Consider the following 20,060-nt stretch of genomic DNA (forward strand, 5'->3'; position numbering starts at 1 on the left):
TACTTGCTTGGTCTTTCTAGTGACCAGTCCCCATTGTGAATAAAACCAAAAGTGACAAAATTTTAATTTTGATATTATTATTGTTAAAATGTTACCCAGTATTGTACTGAGTCTAAATATTCATTTGAAGTTTTATATATATATATATATATATATATATATATAATACATTCAACACAGCTGTGAATATTTTACTTGGAATTAACCTAAATCAGTCATTTTTCCCTTATTTGTATTTTTAATCAATTCTTTATTTCTGTACATTTACTAAAAAACAACCTGAATGAACAAGGACATACAGCTAGAGGATGTGATGGTTTACTAATACTAAATATTTTCCCATCTGCTTGTAAAAATACCATTCTGATGCCACGGCTCCTTGGCAAAGGCTTTGAAACTGGCATAAAAGAAAAATGATAACCCTTTGAACCCCTGTTAGTTAATTGATTTGGCTGAATGAAAGGGTCTGAGAAATTAATGTTCACTTACAAAAGTATGATTAAAAAATCAAAAATTACCTGAATTGCTTGCTTTCCCCTCAAAAATAAGTATTTTAACATTTGGGAAACATACTTTTAGCTATCTAGTATCTCTGTTGATGTATGTGACTTCTGGCTGGCTAGATGGATGAATGAAAGTGCTTTCTCAGGAACACGATAACTACTTTCACAAAACAAATTACATTTAATTTATCTGAAATTAATAGAAAAAAGAAATTGAAATTGAACAAATGAAATTGTGAAAATTTAAATAAATCTTTCTTCAGGAAATAATGTTTCTAAAGTTAAAAAGGATTGTGTAAAACATTGAAACATTGGGGCCATTATATTCTAAATACATTTTAAATGGGATCTATTATTTACCTTTCAAAGAAAGATAAAAATAAATGTTCATATGCTTCTTCCCCAGCTTCTCTCTCAGCTCTTTGTACACGTCCTCTGTTGTTCCTTCTGGTTGTACCAGGTTTACGTGGGGACAGTTTCATTGATTTGTCAAAGATTAGCATGAGGAGGGATCAATGACTGGTGCTTCTTCTGGATTTGTTGTACCAAGCACCTGCACTGCAACTTATCTGTTCTGTCCTTGCACTGGAAACAGATCCTGTTTTATAGTTGGTCATTAAGGCTGATAGTTAGGCAATAGAATTCATAGCTTTCTTTGTTTTGATCTGGTGAATACAACTTCTTTCTCTGTAACCTTTGTCTCCGGCAGTCTTCCTTAGTCTCAGGAATGCAATCTATAATAAATATGGCTGTATGCTGTGTGGTTCCTCCTCTTACCTCTCTGCATTATGTAACCAAATGTCATTAGTGATATTCCTCCACTTCTTCCCTGGCCTGCACCCAAAGATTTCATCAGGATTGTGACACTTTCTTTTCAAACTAGATCTGAAGAAGATATGAGGAGTGTGTTTTTATTTTATTCTAAATTGCACTCTAGATATTTTATACATTTTGTGATTTGTCATTTTTACCCTCTCCTTTATCATTGACTGAGGTTATCTTTTTTCTTGCTTTATTATTATTAGTCATCTTTGAAAGTTTCAAGCCATAAGACATTGAGACTTTTTATTGTGTATCTAAAATATAAAACATTGAGACAGTGCATGCTTATTTTGACATAGAAATAACAGAAAAGAAAAAAGACTACCTTTGTTTTCCCTCTCTTAGGTTTAGAGGATAGAATGTTTAATATTTGAACAGTCTGAGATATGTGCCTTCCAGAAGAGACCATTGTTTTTCAATAACCCAATCTTCCAGTTGTTAAACCAAGTGAAACCATCTATACCCAAGTCAGCATGTGTTATTTTTCTGTTCCACCCATATATTAGTTTATTAGGGCTGATGTAAGAAGACTATCACAAACAGGACAGCTTAGAACAGCATAAATTTTATTATCTCACAGTTCTTGAGGGCAGAAGTATAAAATAAGGTGTCAAGAGGGCCATGCTCCCCCTGAAGGCCCAAAGAAAGGATCTGTTCCAGGCCTGTCTCCTGGCTTCCTGTTCCTTGGCTTGTGGCAGTATAACTGCAGTCTTCACATGGCACGTGGCATCCCTGCTGTGTGTATGCATGTCTCTGTGACAAAATTTTCCCTTTTATAAAGACATAGTCATATTGGATTAAGCTCTACCCTAAGGGCCTCATCTTAGTTTGATCATCTGCGAAGGCCCTAATTCCAAATAAGATCACATTTGCAGGTACTGGGGCTTAGGACTTTAACACCTTTTTTGAGAGAGCACAGTTCAACCCATAACAACCCAATACAGACTTGTTAACCTCATTTATTCTGTAGGATTTATTTAGCAATTAATGTGCACAAAACATTATAAAAGATACAGTCCTGATAAGTATTTTCCTTTTGCATATACATGAGGGAATGGATCATGAAGGAATCACTACCTTTTAATTCTAACACTACATTCTGGATTGTGAGTTTGAAACTGTTAGCATTAATACCAGTATAGCTAGGCTTCTTACTTTTCATGAGTTGTTAACCTTATCTTCTTGATGACTTACTGGCACCACAGATGGTTCTATACCTACGTTACAACATAGGATTTCTCTCCTCCAGGTTCTTGCAGGAACCTATGACCTCAATATCTCTGTTGTCTAGTCCTTCTCAGAAGAAAAAATAAATATTCATGAGAACTAGCCACGATAATGTAGTTCATCATTTTAAATCAGTAATTTTTAAACTGTGCTTTCTATGTTTGTATACTTATGTGTGTGTATTGAGGGTAGGAGGGCTTCATAGATGATCCAGCTGAGCTTTAAGCCTTCTTCTCCCTTTCAGCCTGAAAAGCACCATGTTATCCTGTATTATTTACTGGATTTTCTTGTAAACATTCTCATATGAACAGAAGATTCCAGGGCAAAAAAATTGGAAAACTGCTTTAGCTATCTCAAATTGTATTCTCAGGCCAAGTTCATCGGAGAACCTTTTTAAAAATCTTTATTACAATCATGTTTAAATTGAATTGATTTTGGTATTACTCCATGAATGTGCCTTAATAAAATTTGCCTTGTTTTATTTTAGGAATGTTGTTGATGACACTCTCTATATAACTGTTACTTAGTGGAAAAAACAGACTCAGTTTCTCCTACTGTACTCTCACAGCACAGTTCTGACACTAGATGTGTGAGAGGCTTTCTCCACACATGAAGCAAGCGGTCACCTCTACAGCAGACACTCGCTGAGCGTCCTCCAATTCAATTCTGACACTACCTGGAGATAGAGTCACAACACACACACTGAGGGATCAGGCCCCATTACTGTCCTCTCTTCTGATGACAGTTGTTAAGCCCCAGCTTATTTTGCCTGTGTTTCTGAATGACTGGCTATAAATCGAGGTTCCCGTGGCCCCCTCCTTGCATTTGATTAGTTTGCTAGAGTAGCTCACAAAACTCAGGGAAACACTTTCTTACCTTATTATAAAGAATATTACAAGGATACAAATGAAAAGATGAAAAGGGCAAGGCATATGGGAAAGGACATGGGGCTTCCGTGCTGTCTCCAGGCATGCCGCCCTCCAGGAGCCTCCGTGTGCTCAGCTCTCTGGAAACTCCCAAATTCTGCTTCTTTTGGGTTTTTATAGAAGCTTTATTATATAGGCATATTGATTAAAACATTGGCCCTTGGCGATCAGCCTAACCTTCAGTCCCTCTTCCCTCCCTGGACATTGGGGGATGAGGCTGAAGGTCCCAACTCTCTAATCAAGCCTTGGTCTTTCAGTGACCAGTCCCCATTGTGAAGCCACCTAGTGGCCACCAGCTACCTAGTCAACTCATTAGCATACAAAAAGACACTGTAGAGATTCCAAGGATTTTAGGAGTTGTAATGCCAGGAAACAGGGATGAAAACCAAACATATATTTTACGATATCATAGTCTCCCCTTTAAAAACACACAGGAGACATTTATTTCTGGTCTCAATTCTGTAATTATGGGATTGCAGCAAGAGTTGTATTATCTTTCAATTGTGCTTTTTAAAGAAGAAACACACTTCCTTTACGATACTTATGACTAATTGGTACTTTCTGTTAAGGCCGCAGTCTCTCTAACTAGATGCTTCACTGCCTCTCTTGAGAATGAGAGGACTTGCCCAGTGGAGTTCCCATGTGGTATCTCAGCAGAATTTTTTTTTCCATATTTCCAGTTGTGTACATAAATTACAAAGAACAAGAAGTTTGTTTGATGATCCTTTGCTTTATTTAATTAGTCTTGTTTTAACTCCCTATCTTTCTGGCTTCCCTATTTATACTACTGGTTGGGTGTGAATTATAATTATGGCAAATGGTAAGACGAATGAGAAAGGAATAATAGTAAATACTAAGATGCTGTTTAAAATGTGCACCACTATTCTAAACATTTTAATCAAATTCATTTAATCGGTTTTAAAACTCTGTGAGATAAGTATTGTTATCTTCTCCATTATTAAAAAAAGAAAAAAACCACAAGACTGAGGCACAGGGAGATTAAGTATCTTGTCTGAGGCAGCAAAGCTAGTAAGAAGCAGAACAGGATCGGAACCAGGCAGTCAGCCAGCTCTAACATTTATCCTTTTAAATCACTATATGATATTCTTCATTTCAATAAGCACTTTCCCTATTTCTATGCTGCTGTAACCCAGTGAAATTTGTAATTATTGACAAGATCAGAGTATGTTATTTATCTGTATATTTTCTTACTGCTTTTCGGTAACAAATGGGAGACACATTCAAGGCACTGGAAATTGCCAAAACAGAGCATTGAGCCTGACCTTCATCATTAGGACAAACAGATCTTTCTGCATTCACATGTCAGTTACGCCTTCTGCATATAAGCACCACATTTGTATTTTCAATACCCTCAGAGATAGATATTGTACAAGGAAAAAGTTAGCATCATCTAAATTATTGATCTTTTCTGCAAGTTTTTTGGAAATAATTATCTCTGTATTTTAACAGGTAATAAAAATCAGAAACATGTTTTGAGACCAGAATCTCTTGAAGGGACAGATGAAGAGGATCCAGTTACGGCCTTGGAATGGGACCCACTATCTACTGATTATCTTCTAGTGGTTAATTTGCATTATGGAATTCGCCTGGTAGATTCTGAATCACTTTCTTGCATAACAACATTTAATCTTCCCAGTGCAGCAGCTTCTGTACAGTGCTTAGCCTGGGTTCCCAGTGCTCCTGGGATGTTTATAACTGGAGGTAAGCTAATCCCCATAACCCAGAGTTTTAAATACGTGTATATATTCTTTCGTTGAATTTAGGAAATTGTCCTTTATAGGTTGATTTTGTGTAAAATGTATTAATAGCTCAATTATTATTTATTGTAGTAAATTACTAGTGTACTTTTATTTATATTGTATGTCATTAATGATAAAATGAAATGACAAATAAAAATGAAAAATAAGGTCCACTCTGCCAGGTTTCTGGAAATACCTTGGAATATATTATATATGTGCACACATGTGAGCATGTCTGTGTATGTGCAAAAGACAAAGACAGTTCCATTTCAGGCATAGTAGGATGACAGTGAAGGTACTGAGCATAAAAACAATTACCTGATGGGAGCTTTATTAGCCTCACTGTCTTAGTCCATTTTGTGTTGCTGTAACTGAATACCACAGAATATTCTGCTATAACAGAATACCACAAGCTGAGTAATCTATAAACCATAAAAGGTTTATAGTTTATAGTAATCTAAACTATAAACTAGTTTAGATTAGTTTAAGGCTAATGTAAAGAGGCTGGGATGCCCAGGAGCATGGCACAGGCATCTGGTGAGGAACTTTGTGCTGCTGAAAGCAGGAGAGGACAAGAGCATGAAAGCAAGGGGAGACCTAGCTGGCTTTTATAACAAAGCCACTCTCACAATAAATAACCCACTCCTACACTGTCTATATTAATCCATTCATAAGAGTAGAGCCTACATGACCTAACTGCCTCTGATTAGACCCTATCTCCTAACAATGTTGCATTGGGGATAAAGTTTATAACACAAGAATTTTGTGGGAGGCATTCAAACTATAGCACTCACTGATCCGTGGGTTGAATGGATACTCCTTCATGCTTTCCTAGTCAAGAGGTCATGAGAGAATTAGCAAAGCTAAGTAGTGATAGGGGATGGGAAGATGGGGGAATTGAGGAATAATTAGAAACTAAATGACTCTCTACTTTTACCATTTGATTGTGTTCAGAGAGAGAGACCTCTGAAAGAACAGAATGTTTTTGGCTACTGTATAAATTCTTCCCATATTTGCTTAGCGTAAAATAATAGGCAAAGACTCTTTATCCTCTCAAAATTTTAAAATAAATTATTCACTTCTTTAATACTTAACATAATAGTGACGCCACCCTGTATCTGTGGGTTCTGCATCAGTGGATTGAACCAACTATGAATGATAAATGTTAGGGGAAAAAAATTCCACAAAATTTCAAGAAGCAAAACCTGACTTTGCAGTGTGACAAGTACTATGTTGAACCCATGTGAATAATGTGATGTGTAGGCTTTGGATTAGGTATAATAAGTGATGTGGCTTGACCGTGTCTCCACCAAAAATCTCATCTTGAATTGTCATTGCCATGATCCCCAACTGTCAAGGCCGGACCCAGCTGGAGCTAATGGGATCATGGGGGCCACAGTTTACCCTATGCTGTTCTCATGATAATGAGTGAGATCTCACGAGATCTGATGGTTTTATAAGTGTCTGGCATTTCTCCTGTTTGCCCTCACTCCATTCCACTGCCCTGTGAAGAAGGTGCCTGCTTCTACTTTGCCTTCCACCATGATTGTAAGTTTCCTGAGGCCTCCTCAGCCATGCAGAACTGTGAGTCAATTAAACCTCTTTTCTTTATAAATTACCCAGTCTTGGGTATGTCTTTATAGCAGTGTGAGAACAGACTAATACAATAATCTGGAAATGATTTAAAGTATACGAGAAAATATGCATAGGTTATATGCAAATAATATGCCACTTTATGTAAGAGACTTGAGCATTCCTGGATTTTGTTATCCGTGGGAGGTCCTGGAACCAATCTCCCATGGATAACAAGGGGCAACTGCACATGAAAGTAGATGGATTCTTAATTTATATATCTTAATTGCCTTTAACTTTTCAGGATATAATTAATAATAGGCATGGAATTTTTTTTTTTTTTTTGAGACAGTGTCTCGCTCTGTCACCCAGGCTGGAGTGCAGTGGTGCAATCTTGGCTCACTGCAACCTCCACCTCTGGGTTCAAGTGATTATCCTGCCTCAGCCTCCCGAGTAGCTGAGATTGCACTGTGGTGCATGCCACCATACCTGGCTAATTTTTCTATTTTTAGTAGAGACGGTGTTTTACCATGTTGGCCAGGCTGGTCTCAAACTCCTAACCTCAAGTGATCCACCTGCCTCAGCCTCCCAAAGTGCTGGGAATACAGGCATGAGCCATCATGCCCAGCCCAATAGGCACGGAAATTGTTTTGTATTTTATTACTATTACTGAAATATGCTTCACATATAAAATTCACCATTTTTAAAGCATGCAGTTCAGTGGTTTCTAGTATATTCACAAAGCTCTACAATTATTACCACTATCTAATTAACATATCATTATTCCCCCAACAAACCCTGTACTCATCAGCAGTTACTCTCCATTACTGCCTCCCTACAGTCCCGGATACACACATGTGCAAGCATAAACTGCTAATTACTTTCTATCTCTGTGGACTTGCTTCTTCTGGACATTTCATATAAATGGAACCATTCAGTCTGTTGCCTTTTGTTTCTGGCTTCTTTCACTTAACATAGAGTTTTCAAGGTTCATCCATGTTATAGCATGTATCAGTACTTCATTCCTTTTTATGGCTGAATAATATGTCATTATATGGATATGGCAGGTTTTGTTTATCCATTCCTCTGTTGATAGACAGACGCATTGTTTCCACCTTTTTGCTGATATAGATAATGCTGCTATGAACATGTATGTACAGGTTTTGGTATGGACCTTTGCTTATAATTCTGTTGAGTATTTCTCAAGGAGAGGAATTGCTAAGTCATATGGTAATTCTATATTTAATCGTTTGTGTAACTGCCAGACTTTTCTCCATAGCAGTAATTAAGATGGGAATTTTGGAAGAAAGGAGACTGTAATTGGTCTTCAGGTATATTTGACAATCCTTAATGGCTAAAAGTGGACAGTGGAGCAGTTTATAAACATTTCAAAGGTGGAAAGATTGATTATTTAAGGTTAGAAATGGAGAGTTTTCTGTGGCTGGCCTTTCCTAGAACAAGCATATGTCAATAGGGTCTTTTTTTGTGGTTGAGTTATTATAATGGTCTTTATTGGAGGAAGCTGCCAAAACAGGCCGTTTCTAAACCTATAAAAGGTTTTGGAGCAAAAAAATAGTAAAACATGCCAAAAATTTAAAGGTTAAATAGTATTTCGGTTGTTAGGTTGTATTACTGTATGGTATTGTTGTTAAAAGGATGTCAGTAATTAGTCCTAAAATATTTCCAGTTGAAATTTTGTTATACTTTTATGTCTAGGCATTTTAGTTTCATACAAAACTTGTTAAAATGTGCTTTTTCCCTGATCTGACTAGATTCTCAAGTGGGTGTTTTACGCATTTGGAATGTTTCAAGAACAACACCTATTGATAATCTTAAATTAAAGAAAACAGGATTTCACTGCTTACATGTACTTAATTCTCCTCCAAGAAAAAAGTGTAAGTAAAAATGTTATCAAAATTTTAATTTTTAAAAAATATTGTGTTTTCTATCAAATAAAATGGTATAGTGAGATATCAAATACTATATGCCACTGAAAAGCAATTTTTAAAAAAGGCTTTGACAATATATGTGCTCAAGGATCCATCAAAGCTACACAAGATCTACTGTTACTAAATTGAAAATATTTAGAGTCAAGTTACATTTTTTAATGCTACTAAGTAAGAATATTTAGATAATTTCAGATTATCTACATGGAAAAGATGAATCAATGATACTGATGAAAATAAGTTAGAAATATTAAGAGTGATAGGATTAAATAAGATTATCTGAACTGGGAGAATTTATGTTTTAAACATGGCTCATTTAAAATCTGTACAGTTTACAACGAAGTTAAAACAACCTAAATATTCAAATTATAGGATCTAGAATACATATTACATATTTGAATACCAGTTGTCACTAAGTTAGTAGTTAGTATTATGGATCTTCTGTGTCTTCTTTATTTCTGTGTATATTTTCTGTATCATTCGTTGCCTCTGTAATTAAGAAAAAATAAAATACACTTAATTTATAAAAAGGAAAAATCTGGAAATTTGGGGGAGGTTTAGAATTAGAATTTTTTTCAAATATAAGGGAAAAATAATAGACTTCCAGTTAAGTCTATCATGATTACTCTGCATGGTTGGTAGTGTTCCCATTCTGTATAACACATCATTAAAAGCATGGGGAAGGGATTTCAGTGATGAAAAGTTTAGAGTGATTGTTTCCTTCTTACTCTATCTTTATAATATACCAAGTAATTAGCAATGGCTATTCAAAGTAATGTTATTTTGGTGTCTAATTGGTAGGCAATGGCAAGTAGTAGAAAATCTCTATATTTGAACCTATACCCCTTGTACAAAATTGTGAAGTCCCTAATAAATGTAGAACCTGGAAACTGGAGGGTCTAGAAATATTAGGACTAGAGAAGTAATATGCTGGATGCTGGCTTACTGTTTAGGGATGTTGGAATTTTTTTGTCATTGTTAGTTCCTTTATTTGTTTAGAAGCTTTGAACTGCCATGTCATGGAATGTCTGAAATACCAGATTCTTTTCTTTCATTTTTTTTCTTACTATAAAAGTAGCCCATGTCCATTAGACAAAGTCAGAAAATACAAAGAATAACATACCAGTCTTGTCATTTTCGAGCAATTCCTTTCAGATTACCTCTTCTTTGACTTCTAGGTTTTCCCTTCAATTTAATATAACAGAAAGTATGGAAAAAGAACAATTGTGAAAATGAAATTTTAAAAAATAAACGTACTCGCTGAATTCTGAAAAGCATGATTTACAAATAGATTGGTGCATAAAAGTTGTCTAACCCACCTATAATGTCAATTAAAGTGTTAGAAAAACCAATGATGGATTATATTAATTTTTAAACAAAATATCAACGAAATTTAGTGAACCAAATTCATTGCTACCAAATGCCTCTTTTGTCATTTGTAGTTCATTCTAGTTTGGACTTTCTGTAATTCTCAGATTCTGAGAAATGAATATTATCCATAATAAATGAACTAAGAAAAATTGTATTTTAATATTAAAAATACTGAGAAATGGCCGGGCGCGGTGGCTCATGCCTGTAATCCCAGCACTTCGGGAGGCCAAGGCGGGCAGATCACAAGGTCAGGAGATCGAGACCATCCTGGCTAACACAGTGAAACCCTGTCTCTACTAAAAATACAAAAAAATTAGCCGGGCGTGGTGGCAGGAGCCTGTAGTCCCAGCTACTGGGGAGGCTGAGGCAAGAGAATGGCGTCAACCTGGGAGGCGGAGCTTGCAGTGAGCCGAGATCATGCCACAGCACTCCAGCCCGGGCAACAGAGCGAGACTCCGTCTCAAAAAAAAAAAAAAAAAAACTGAGAAATATTTTCCATATTCCAGTGTACAATTAATAATCGATTGGTCTTATAATTTACTGTAGTGTCATTATTTTGGATTATGTTTGCAAGAAAATATTTGGATTCACATTCTAAGGAAGAGCTTTTTGGAAGAAGACAAAATATGGGATAAATAATATATAAAAATAATCACAGTGATATTTATGTAATTGAAAGTAGGAGAAATCCAAGTCTATAAACAGTAAAAAGAAAAAACAAACAAAAAAACATCTAGGAAGAAAGAAAATTGAGATGCCAGTGCAGGTCAGATAGTGTTGTGATTCTTAATTTATGATAAATTAAAATGAATTATGCATAATCTCAAAAAAATTATTTTCACTGGCTTGGAAATTGTTGGCAGAGAGTTATTTATATTAAAAGAAAAAATTATATGCATATATGTTTGTGTGTGTGGAAGGAGGGAATAAGCTATTATGTCAGTATTTTGAAGGAAGTTTATAATTCAGAAATAATCATGCTGAGCTTTAATTTATAGGGTGATAAGAAACCACATATTCACAACAGATTGTGATTCCTCAACACACTAATTTTCATCTATTTGCTCCATCTGTACTTTAAAATAATATCCAATTTTGTGCTTATATTACATTTTTTGGCAATCCCAAAGAACTGCTTATGTGGGAGAATATATGATCATTGCCTAAATGGTTTACTGGTACAGATTCTGGATTTTTTTTTTAATGAAGAATCTTTCTAAATTAAGCTCTGTGGTTTCATTCCAATAGGATTTTTTTTCTTCTATTTTTAGTTTCAGTCCAATCTCCAACCAAAAATCATTATACATCCTCAACAAGCGAAGCAGTTCCACCCCCAACTTTAACACAGAATCAAGCATTTTCTCTTCCTCCTGGTCATGCAGTGTGTTGTTTCTTGGATGGTGGAGTTGGACTTTATGATATGGGAGCTAAGAAGTGGGATTTTCTTAGAGACTTGGTATGTATGTAGTCATTCCTTTATTATACATAATAGTTTTTTGTGTAAACCCATGATCTTTACTTTTACCTGTCTGAATATTATTTGAAATTATTTTTGTAAGTAATAATATACTAGAAATTTATTGTAGCTGGTTGAAACATTTTAGAAAATGCATAGAATGATGATAAAACTACTAAAATAACTTTTAACCACTATACTTCAAAAGTCTTAATGTCTACTTATATTTTATGTACAATGGAAAATTACATAGCTGTAGTATATTTTGGAAGCAAAATGAGAATAGAATGTCCTTTCAAGAGAAAGGACAAGTTGATCTCTGCCAGTTGCTCAAAGCCTTATTGTTCCCATTTGTTAATTGAGTAACGTTGGATTATGTTTTCTAAGATTTGTTTCTATTGTTGAATCGCTATGATACTTAAGTGATTCTATGAATTCTGTTTTTATGATAATTAAGCCCCTATATAAGATAGAATACAACCTCCTTGAGATCCCACATTTTTGTCTGGTTGTGTTCTGTGGTACAGCCCCACTACCTAATATAGTATCTGCCACATAGCAAGACTATTAAATTTTGTTGAATGAATGAATGAAGACATGCAATAATACATACTGCGTTGTAATTAATATTTGTCAAAAACAATCCTCTTTAATTTTCCCTACTTTAGAGTTTCTAAAAATGTCCCTGTCTTTTTCCACTGGTTTGAATTAGACTAATCTGGACATTTAAGAAACCTTTAAATGCTAATTATTTTCCTTTGATCTTAGAAAAAGAATCTAGAGATGTAATTGTCCTTGTAACTGAAGGGAGAGAAAGAATCAATAATATTGTATCTTTTCAAGACTGCTCGTTTAATTTTATCCTCAAATGAAAAAATGATTTATAGCAAAAATATTTTTAAAATAATCTGTAGCTTAATTATTTTTGAATTTTCCTTTTGTAGATATTCATTTGAAGATGATTTAATTTTCTTTTCACTTTAACTTTTCTTTTTATATAAACTCTTTCCTAGTGTGGTAAACTTTTTGTATACTTCAAATTACCATTTGTTTTCAAACAAATTTATGAAAGGGAAGGGAGAAAAACATAAGAATACACTTAAATCTATAAAAAAAAACTAGTAAGAACAGCAGGATATACTGTTTCCTACACTTGTTTCACTAGACCAACCAGAATGACTTCTGTAGAATTTTGCTGATATGTCCTGAGTTGCTTTACATCAGCACTGGGTTGAGTCACTAAATCTGGCAGTGGGTCTTCAACAAGACAATTCTTCATTTCTGAATAAAACTGTGCTTAGCTCACCAATTCCTAAAATCAGTTCAGGAGACAATTACATTGCAGCAACTCAAAAGAAAAAAGAAAAAATATACTAACATGAATCACACATGCCCCAAGTGCCATATATACCATTCGAAGAAAAAAAAAACAATTTTTTATTTTTATTTTTTTTTTTTTACCACTTCACTATTTAATTACAAGCAAAGTCCTCTGTGGTTCTCCTTGGTCTCCTCTCTCTAAAAAAAAAAAAAAAAGAAGAAGAAGAAGAAAAGAGAAAGGAAAATCACTTCCACCATTAACTCCTAATCTAAAAAGTAAATTCTGCCTTAAATAAAAATCTGGGTCTTTCTACTAAGCTAAAAAAAAAAAAAAAAAAAAAAAAAAGTTGTGTTAGTAGAAGAGAAGTCATGCAATCTAAATTCAATAAATTTTCTATGACACTTCGTATTAAAGTATGTTTTACTTAAAATCTATGTTAATTTATAATTCTAATAAATGCCGAATACTAAATACTAAAAGCCGCTTGATTATAAATTATTTCAGTTGCTTTTCTCACTTTAAAATGTCTGCCAGTCAGAGGGAGGCAGTCATTTTTTCCTTATAGTTTCAATTTTCTTAACACAGATCCAAATTTGAAATTTCTCGAAGTGTTACCAGAAGAAACAACTCTGAACTGCTGTATGTATGAAGCATCTGCAAAGATTCCAGATTACATAGGATGAGAAAAATATTATTAATATTTTTTAAAATCTTACATAATTTTAAAAATCTTATTAATAAACATTCTAAAAGGTGTACTTCCATATGAATATTTGCTCCATTAAAATTAAGAAAAATGCCACAAAATTTTCCTCGTCTTACTCACCTTCCTTTTGGTAAGAAGAAAACACAGAAGAAACATTTACAATTTTGTTCTTGCTATGTGAATTTTCTTATTTCAAAAAATAAAATTTTAAGGCATAGCAGTGAAATAACATTTAAAACTGCATGTAAGTCCCTGCCTGGATTATGTTCCTAACATTGGAAATGACCACATAGGACAGCTTCAGCCAGGTGAACCAGTGGTTCTAACAACATTTTTACTTCTTGCTAACCCTTGAGATTTTTCTTTCCTTTACCTCCACCTAAAGGAGAAACTTTACGAGTACTTTTGTAGTTTCCTAAGGGTTGTGATTTCTGGTATTAATGGAAGTACACAGAGTTTTAAGGACTTTCTTCTCTACCCTTATTCTATTTGTTGAGGACTAGAAAACCCTGTCTTTGTACTTCAACTCCGTCTCTAGATCCCAAATGTTAGTTTCGTTTGCTTAAAGTAGAAATTTCGATTCCCATTCCCCAGCATTTAGAATAGTTGTAATTCCGGCTATTTATGTTGGACTCTTAACGGATTTTCCCAAAGGCCCACAGTAGTTAAGCACTACTTTACTGGTGTATGTTTACATGTATCTGCATATACCACTTTATAGTCTTGTGGGTGTTTGGGATCCAAATCATTGTGTAATGGGAACAAGTATTCAGGTTCCAAAGAATAGACTTGCTAGAAAATTTTGGAACAAGGCTCATTAACAATTGGGGTTATGCCTGATTCTTCTGTTTCTGCCAAAATTATGAGGTGCTTTTGGAGTACGTTATTAGTATAAAAAAGGAATATTTGCATTAAATGACTTTTAGTTTGAGTTTCATCTTGGTCTTCTATTGTAGTGCCAGATGACATATGGTAACTATTAAGAGTTAATTGCTTTATAGATTTCTAGCATAGTATCCTGTAAGTTTAATAAAAATAGAAAATATCTTTTGCACTGAATTGAAACTGAAAAGTGAGACTTCTGAACATCTTTGAGTTTAGTTGCTGATTTGAGGAACCGTGGTTGACTAAAATCTAGGTCTGTACAAAATAATACAGTAATGGCACAGAGAACATTCAATCACTGTAGTGATTCCAGTTTTCTGTTTTTCTTGCCTATATATTTTTGCATTAATATTTGGAAAACCGTATACATGTGTCAATTTGAGTAAACATTGTGGTTCATCTATTAATAATGTGAATTTTCCTCAATAATTATGACTTTTTTATGCCATATTCCTAGGGACATGTGGAAACTATCTTTGACTGCAAATTCAAACCTGACGATCCTAATCTTTTAGCAACAGCTTCATTTGATGGCACTATAAAAGTCTGGGATATAAACACATTAACAGCAGTGTACACATCCCCGGGTAATGAAGGTGTTATTTATTCCCTTTCTTGGGCTCCAGGTAAGAGATATTTTATTGAAATTAGGAATACAATGAAATGGCTTTTTAAAGTTTTATTTTCATTTGAGTTACTTTCTTCCTCTTGATCTCATCTTGTTCTAAATGAATGTAGAGCAAATTAGTGTGAACATATTTGTTGATTCTCTTTTTGCGAGGTTTAAGAAGAGTCTATCTGCAGAGGCACTTTGATTCCTGGTTTCCTCTATATAACAAGTCATGTAGAAAAACCACAGTAAATCAGGATTATCTTTACCTGTCTAATATAAGTTGTATTTCTATAGCTATGCCTTTAGAAGTATAATACAATTTACATGATAGAGGTTTTCTGGAAAGTTTTAATGTAAATCCTGTTTATGGTTATATATCAAGTAACAGTTCACTTGTAACCATGTAATTCTGTATTAACTCCACCTTTGAAGTATTGAAGAACTTTTATGCCATCATAAGATCTTATCTCTGATCTTAGATGCCACCTTATACCTTGCTGTACATATAAAGGAGAGATGTCCTATGAAACCTCTGACATTTTCTCCCAAAACATTATTTCCCCATAACAAATAATTTCACACACCTAAATGAATTTTTCACTTTTAAAGTATATGTAATGGTTTACTTATTTGGCTTAATAGTAATATATTAATTCAATAACTACATGTAATGTGGATGTAGCTCATCCTTATTTTTAAAATTATTTCTTCATACACAGGGATTCTTAACTTTGAATATTTGGGCCTCCAAGGGTTTTATATTTCATCAGAGAGTTTGGGAATCTCTGAGAAATTTATGAATAATTTTTAGTGTGTGTGTATATACGCCTATATCTGTCAAAGAGTATCTTAGTACTCAGATTTTCAGAGTTTCATGATACGAAAAAGGTTAAGGACCACTGCTTTATGTATCCTTCATCTCCTACAATGAGGAGAATTACAGAAAAAGGTTTTACTTACAACTCTTAATGACAATGTTTGTCCTTTAAGCAGAACATAACTGAGCCTATTCTGTTGATTATTGCAGTATGCACCTCCACTGTAGGTTACCTTGGCTAGCAATATAGGAATTGGACCAGCCAGTGCAGTCACCTTGCACTAGAGCTCATATTAGTTGAATACTCTTCATCCTACAAAAGTATTTGTCTGAAACATAAAACATAAATAAAACTTATGACTGTAAAAACTATTGTTTCAAATCATAACACAGAAGATCTAATCTGACTTATAGCATTCTTTCACTCTCTACATTGAGAATTTGCATCAAGAAAGTAAAAATGTTAGAAAATGGAAATTCTGTCATTTTCTGTTATGTGATTACTGGTGCATCATGACTTTGAGGTAAGTGGGGATGATATTTAAAAGATAAATGAGGGTTGACAAGGATGGAAGTAGAGTAGGATATAGATAATTACATAATTTCCTCTGTATCTTAGTGTAGATACCAGACGAAAAGAAAAAAAATGCAAATAAATTTTGAAACATATCCCCAATAATTTAAGAACCCCAAAAGGAGAGCAGTTTAAAAATGTTAGAAATATGATGAGAACATTTTTAGTGTGTATAATCATTTATCATTAAGTAGTTTCTTCATATTTTTATTCCTAGATAGCAGATGACAGCTGCTCCTTTGTTCTGATGGAGAAAACCTCTTCTATCACTGTCTTACAAAAGGCACTTATTTAAATCCTTGGCCATCTACTACTCACTTAGCAGTAGTTTTATTTTCACAAATTTTTTTATTTCTTAAAACAGAAAGCATTGTTTATGTTTTTATGGAGAAACTGTATTTTTCCTGTGATCTGTTCATAGAAATACTTTCATAACCATTAAAATACTACTAGATAATCATGGAAGTATGAATGCTGACTGAATATATGATAATATTGAAGAATTATTGTTAATATTCATGATAGTTTGGCCTTGATCAATAAAGAAGTCCCTGTCTTTTAGAGATGCATACTGAAGTTTTTATGGATGAAATAATATGCTGTCAGAGATTTACTCCAAATAAATTCAGCAGATGCTATAGACAGAACAAGATTGGCCCTATTTTGATAATTGTTGAAGCTGTGTAATGGATACATTAACTTTATTATTTTATCTATAATTTTATACAGTTAATAATTTCAATTATAAAAAATTAAAGAACTAGTCTGCAAATCACAGTTCTTACATTTTCACAAGTTACATTTTTTAAAAGAATTACATTTGTGGGAAACATTTAGTATAATGTCTAACAAATTGTTTCCTAAGGTGGTTTAAATTGTATTGCTGGGGGAACTTCCCGAAATGGTGCTTTTATTTGGAATGTTCAAAAGGGCAAAATTATACAACGATTTAATGAGGTAAGATTTATTTATTGCTACTGAATAATATAATGTTTTATACTATTTTGTATTTATTTTGTAAATATTTTTATTTCTTAATATAATATCACTTAATAATCAGGTGGTATGTGTGTTCTCTCAATTAGAAGAAAATCCTAGAGAATACTCACATACTAAAATGAATTCTGAAAATTGTAGCTGAGTCACCTGAAGTTGCAGTAGAGAGTCAAAGGAATTTTTGAGTCATCCTCCACAAAATCTGGGCAAATACAAAATAATAGGAAGAAGACTAAACTCAGAGCAAGTCCCAAATTATAGTCCTGGTTCTGTTATTAATTAGCTCTTGACATAAGGAGAATCACTTTATTGCCCTAAACCTGTTTCTTCACCTAAAAAATGTTGAAGGTGGATTATATAGTTTCTTAGATTTTCTTCCAGTTTTCAAATTCAATTATTCCGTGCAGAGCCTTAGAACCTGCTCTCTTGTATTTGTAGCATCACAGATTTTATTTCTCCTTTGTCTTGGAGTTATATTGTCATCCCATATTTTACTGAGTTCCATTAATATTTGAAAAATACATATGATCTGAGTACAAAATATTAGGTATGAATCAGGGGAAAATGATCTAAGATTGTCTGTGTCTTGAAATTTCTTTTATTTTAGATGATTACTATTGAAGCTTATTAAGTATATAATTTCTTTGAAAATTGCCTATATATTTGGGGTTTTAAAAACATTTATACAGAGAGTATTATCCCTTTGAAGATGCTCCTTAGTAGTCCTGCTCCCCCACTACTTGTAGTAGCGTAGCAAATGCAGAGCTTTTAGGAAAACTTTAGAGACCACTGTGAGCAATTTTGCACTCAAAAAAGGAAACTTTGACAAAGGATTATAAAAGTTACATCCTTTCCTTTCTCTACATATAACACAATACCCTTTCAGTTTAGCAATGCCCCAACCTGCCATCTTCCCTCCCATCACCAAAACAACAATTTATTCCATAATAAATAGTGGATTATAAGAAGAGATGAGCCTAAAAATGAAACTTATGGCCCAGATTCAAAAATTGTATATCTTTACTCATTAGATCAGTTGATTTCTTCTTATGGCATCTTGGCAACTTGGAATCTCACATATCTGCCCACTAGTACCTAAACACTTCCAGCCTGATTGTGGAAACCCAGCATTTTAGTATCAAGGACATGTCTTGTATTTCTTTATGTCTTTCCCAACATTCACTAGCGAAATTGCTTAAATCCTATGTCATAAATAAGGGAAAAATTAACAATGCCAGCATTAATTAACTAAGCTACGTGTGTTCCACAAAAAGAATTATGGGATAGTAGAGAGTCATAAATGCAATTTTCATGGGAATAAATGAAGCTGACAGAAGGCCTCCACCCTATAAACTGAATGAATAAAAGGACTAGTCCCATTTTTAAATCTGCCTGCATAAACCTACCCTCTTTGATCCCCAAAGAGGTAAAACAGCAAACTGGAGATTGCTTTAAGAAGTTAAAACTATATTTACACAGCAACCTTAAGCTACAAGATAAAAAGTCACTTTAGTTTCCTCTTAATGGAATTTAAGTACTATATAAAGTAGAACTGTTTTTAATTAAAATTTAGAAATGGGTTGATTACAACTTTTATTTACTGATCACACCGTTGATGAATGACATTCTCATGTGTAATATATTCCTTCTAGTTTTAAAAATTCTTATAATTCCATCTATTAACTATATCCCCTGGCCCTTCCTCAGTCCTAGAAAGCAGAAAATCAAGCAAATATAAAGTGATTTATTATAGGAATAACATGAAATCTATTCTGATTTCTTTATAAAATAGAACTTTGAAACTTAGAGAAACAACCAATAATAACTGCTTGCAACATTTCTTATACTGTGGTTGAAGTAGCACTGTGTTTGGAAGCAGATAGATAACTGTTTTCATCACCATACTGGTACTCATGGGAAAAGGCATTAAGCAGAGCTTAATTCTACAGATGACTTAAGAAGGACATTTTGACTCTTTACCTTGTATCCAACAAAAAGAAATGGAGCCACCTGATTTATGTCTTAAAACAACAGATTGGTATCTTAAAACACTTTTAAATTGTGACAGCTTTAGACATTTTTAAAGTGTATAATCAGGTTTCTGCTCTTGACAGTAATGCCTCTGTTAGTGTCATCTAAAGCACATTCCTAACAGAAAAGTAATACTTAGAAGAAGTAAATATATAAGAGAAAAAAGGGGTGAATTATTTCTTATTGATAGGTATTTTACATTTTTTGAAGCATGGAACAAATGGAATATTCTGCATTGCCTGGAGTCATAAAGATTCTAAAAGAATAGCAACCTGCAGCAGTGATGGTTTCTGGTAAGTACTATGTATGATACATGATATGAAATTACACTGTTTATAAAGCACTCATTTGATCATTCCAACTGTGTATCCATGAGATTTCATTTGTACAGCTCTACCAACTCTCAGAGGCGTTATTTTTAAGCCCATATAGGCACATACTATATTGCTATGATGTATCATTAATAAATAACAATGCAAGGGTATTTAAAATTTGTTTAATGAGGCATTCAATTGCTTTCTCAATGAAAATACT

At 33.7% G+C, this 20,060-nt stretch overlaps 1 protein-coding gene across 12 annotated transcripts in view; it reads left to right on the forward strand.

Moving 5' to 3' along the window:
• Positions 1–20,060, forward strand: part of WDR17 (WD repeat domain 17) — a 116,975-nt gene that overhangs the window by 54,315 nt on the left and 42,600 nt on the right. For 9 of the 12 annotated variants that reach the window (NM_170710.5, NM_001378103.1, XM_047449569.1 and 6 more), the window contains 6 exons: positions 4,949–5,200; positions 8,583–8,705; positions 11,399–11,583; positions 14,953–15,121; positions 17,365–17,456; positions 19,737–19,819. In NM_170710.5, the coding sequence (NP_733828.2) occupies positions 4,949–5,200; positions 8,583–8,705; positions 11,399–11,583; positions 14,953–15,121; positions 17,365–17,456; positions 19,737–19,819 (904 nt within the window). Of the gene's footprint in view, positions 1–4,948; positions 5,201–6,750; positions 6,823–8,582; positions 8,706–11,398; positions 11,584–14,952; positions 15,122–17,364; positions 17,457–19,736; positions 19,820–20,060 lie in introns of all 12 variants that reach the window. The other 3 variants (NM_001350727.2, XM_017007690.3, XM_024453885.2) reach the window with 1 other exon arrangement.

This window comes from Homo sapiens, chromosome 4, assembly GCF_000001405.40.
Source record: "Homo sapiens chromosome 4, GRCh38.p14 Primary Assembly".
NCBI classification, from domain to species: Eukaryota; Metazoa; Chordata; class Mammalia; order Primates; family Hominidae; genus Homo; species Homo sapiens.